Below are 3,031 nucleotides of genomic sequence, written 5' to 3'. Positions count from 1 at the left end.
GGAAGCTGAAGGAATCAAGGGAATGAGCCCAAAGAAGCTCTGGAAGAAAACTTTCTGGACAGAGAAGCAGGCTTCTATGTGTGAGGAAGAGCCAGGAGGCTGGGAAGGCTGATGTAAGAGCCGGAGAGTGTGGCAAGAGATTAATCTGGAGGAGTATATAGGGGCCATATCTTGTAGAACTTGTGTGCTGCCGTGTGGAGCTTGGACCTTATTCCCTGTAAGTAGAAGAAAGCGACATAGCAACACATCTGTTTTATATTTTTAAAACTGTCTCTTTGGCGGCTGTGTGCAGAATGGTCTGTAGTGGGGCATGAAGACCAGTGGGGTGGGGTATCACTTTTTCAAGGAAGGGATGAGAATGGCTTGGACCATTGAAGTAGCAGAGGAGGTGGAGGAAAGGTCAGATTCTGCTTATATTTGGAAGGTACAGTTGGCTGATAGCACTTGCTAATGGACTGAATGTCGGATGTGGGGGAAAAAGAGGACTAGAGAATGACTCCAAGATTTCTGGAATCATTTACTGAGGTGGAAAAGACCAAAGGAGCAGTGTTTCTGGAGAGAAAATTAAGAGTTTAGTTTCAGACACAGTATGCTTGAAATGCCTTATTCAAGAGCTTTTTTTCTGCATCATGATTTTGGAACAATTTGTTCTTTTAGCCACCAATTTGCTATATATTAGAATTATAGTCTAGAAAAAAAAAACATGAGAAAAACTTACAAGAAGGTACACACTCACTCTCTCTCTTTCTCTATCTCAAGGGAAGCAATAATATTCCCCTTGGGTAGACAGTTACCCAAATCAACTTCTCCAAGGCCGTGGTGTCTGCTGCTAATGTTCACAGGAGGCCTTATTTCCAGAGAAGAGCAAATTATTGGGCCACTTGCTGAGGGTGCAAATGAGTTTTCTGATGCCTCCCTGCAGCCCTCTGGAGCATCCAGAGAAGAGGCAGGCCCTATGGAGAATTCTACTACAAGCCCGGATGGGGTTTTCCATGGGAAATGACTGAAAGGTTGTAAAGGTACTACCCTCCTCTGTTTCATGTCCGATTTCATCCCTCGCTTGCTTGAAGTCCTCTGGAGATTTGTCACTGATGTAGGAAAATGGAAACTCTTGGCAAGTCATTTCAGAAGTGGTTCTCCAGCTTCCAGTCCTCTGTGCCCTCTTCCCTTCACATGCCCCTCCAGCTTTTATCACACCTAACCACTAACAAGTTCTCAAATGGCCCAGGCATGCTCCCTCAGGCCCCCATGCCTTTGCACATGCTGTACCCTCTGCCTGGAGTGCGACTTTTCACCTTCGGGCTCTGACAGTCTCCACTTATCTTCCTGCCATTTCCACTGGCCCCCTGGAGCCATCTCTTGTTCTTCTTTTGGGCTATGGCTTCCTGTCCCTACATCCCTTCACAGTCAGAGTCACACTGTGTTACCACGGCCTGTCTCTTGCACTCCCAGTTTACTTCTCTATAAAATGCAGATAAAACCCTATTTCATGGGCTTTCAAAAGGTTATTTTGGGGATAAAATTATCTAGTTGATAGGGGTTCAAAGGGTTGTTTTGAATTAGTTATAAGTGACAACTATCTTAATAATAATTAATACAAATGATCTCCCTTTATTTCCTTACAATCCCAGTGGGTGGCTCTGGAGAGAAGGGGACCTCCACATCCCTGTGGGATCCAGAACCAATGGGAACAAGAGATAATGGTGGCTTGGACCAAGCTAGCAGCTGGGCTGATCCATTTTTATTTTTGTATTCCTAGTGCTTGACCATAGGACGGATCTGTGTGGGTGTTTGTTGAATGATGTTTGAAGCATAACAAACAAGTAAATAAATGTTTGAAAGAAGAATAAATGGTCAAATGTATAAATGACTGACAGCATCAATTCATGAATTGAAGACAAAGCATGGAATTGTGCCTTTTAGTCTATCCTGCTCAGAAAACAAGGAGAGTCATCGAATTTTAGACTCAAAGCCCTTTTTTGATAGATCCTGCTTGGTGCTCCCTGGCCCTTCCTTCCTGTGTTTTGTGACGTTATTCTCTTGCCTGGAGGGTTCTCACCCCAGACGACTCCTGCCCACCCTACAAGTTATTGATCACCTTTGAGCTGGAGCTATGCAGGATGCCCCTCTGCTAAGCCAGCCCCCTCCCAGGCACCAAGATACAGGAGAACCAGGCTCACTTGTGATCATATCTCTGCTCTGACATATGAGTTGTGTGACCTTAGGTGAATTACTTGAAATTTGCAGAACTCAATTTCCCCTTTGTAAAATAGGAATGAGAATAACTCATAGAAGAGACTGAATGAAAGTAAGATAAAGTGTTAAACTCAGTGCCTGGCACAAGGTTTCGAGGTACGCCTCTGGGAACTATTCTGCCCCTTCCACCATAGCCTTTCTCTCCCCCTTCCCCCAGTTCTCTTTCTCACTTGCAAGTGCCAAACTAAAGGCAGCAGCATGGAAGCACATGGGCTGGATTAGCACTGTGCAGTGTTGCTGCTGTTTTTTAACTCTGTTTTTTTGATGAAAGTTTAAAAAAACTATGGCAAAAAGTACATGACATAAAATTTACTATTTTATTCATTTTTAAGTGTACAGTTAGTAACATCAGGTACATTCACAAGCCATCACCATTATCCATCTCCAGAACTTTGTCATCATCTCAACCTGAAATTCTGAACTCAATAAAAAGTAACTTCCCATAGTCCCTGGAAACCACCACTACCATACTTTCTAGCTCTACGATTTTGACAACTCTAGGTACCTCTTCTAAGTGAAATCCTATGCTATTTGTCTTTTTTTGTGACTGGCGTATTTCACTTAGCATCATGTCCACAAGGTTCCTTCATCCTGTAGCATACATCAGAATTCCCTTCCTATTTAAGGCAGAATATATGCCATCGTATATGCAGACCAGATTTTAAAAAAATCCGTTCATCTATCAATGGATACACGGGTTGCTTCCACCCCTTGGCTATTGTGAATGATGCTGCTGCTAACAGGGATGTACAGATACCTCCTCCAGACCCTGCTT

At 43.5% G+C, this 3,031-nt stretch overlaps 1 annotated feature.

Moving 5' to 3' along the window:
- Positions 298-1,497: an enhancer, noted in NCBI's record as "BRD4-independent group 4 enhancer chr5:174697681-174698880 (GRCh37/hg19 assembly coordinates)". NCBI's record gives its function as "activates an origin of replication core promoter dependent on BRD2, P300/CBP, MED14 and CDK7 cofactors, and independent of BRD4, by STARR-seq in HCT116 cells {active_cell/tissue: HCT116}" and the evidence as "EXISTENCE:reporter gene assay evidence [ECO:0000049][PMID:35650434]".

Source organism: Homo sapiens, chromosome 5 (genome assembly GCF_000001405.40).
Source record: "Homo sapiens chromosome 5, GRCh38.p14 Primary Assembly".
Lineage (NCBI taxonomy): Eukaryota > Metazoa > Chordata > Mammalia > Primates > Hominidae > Homo > Homo sapiens.
The sequence above is the reverse complement of the archived record's forward strand: the minus strand, read 5'-3'. Positions and strand labels throughout refer to the sequence as shown.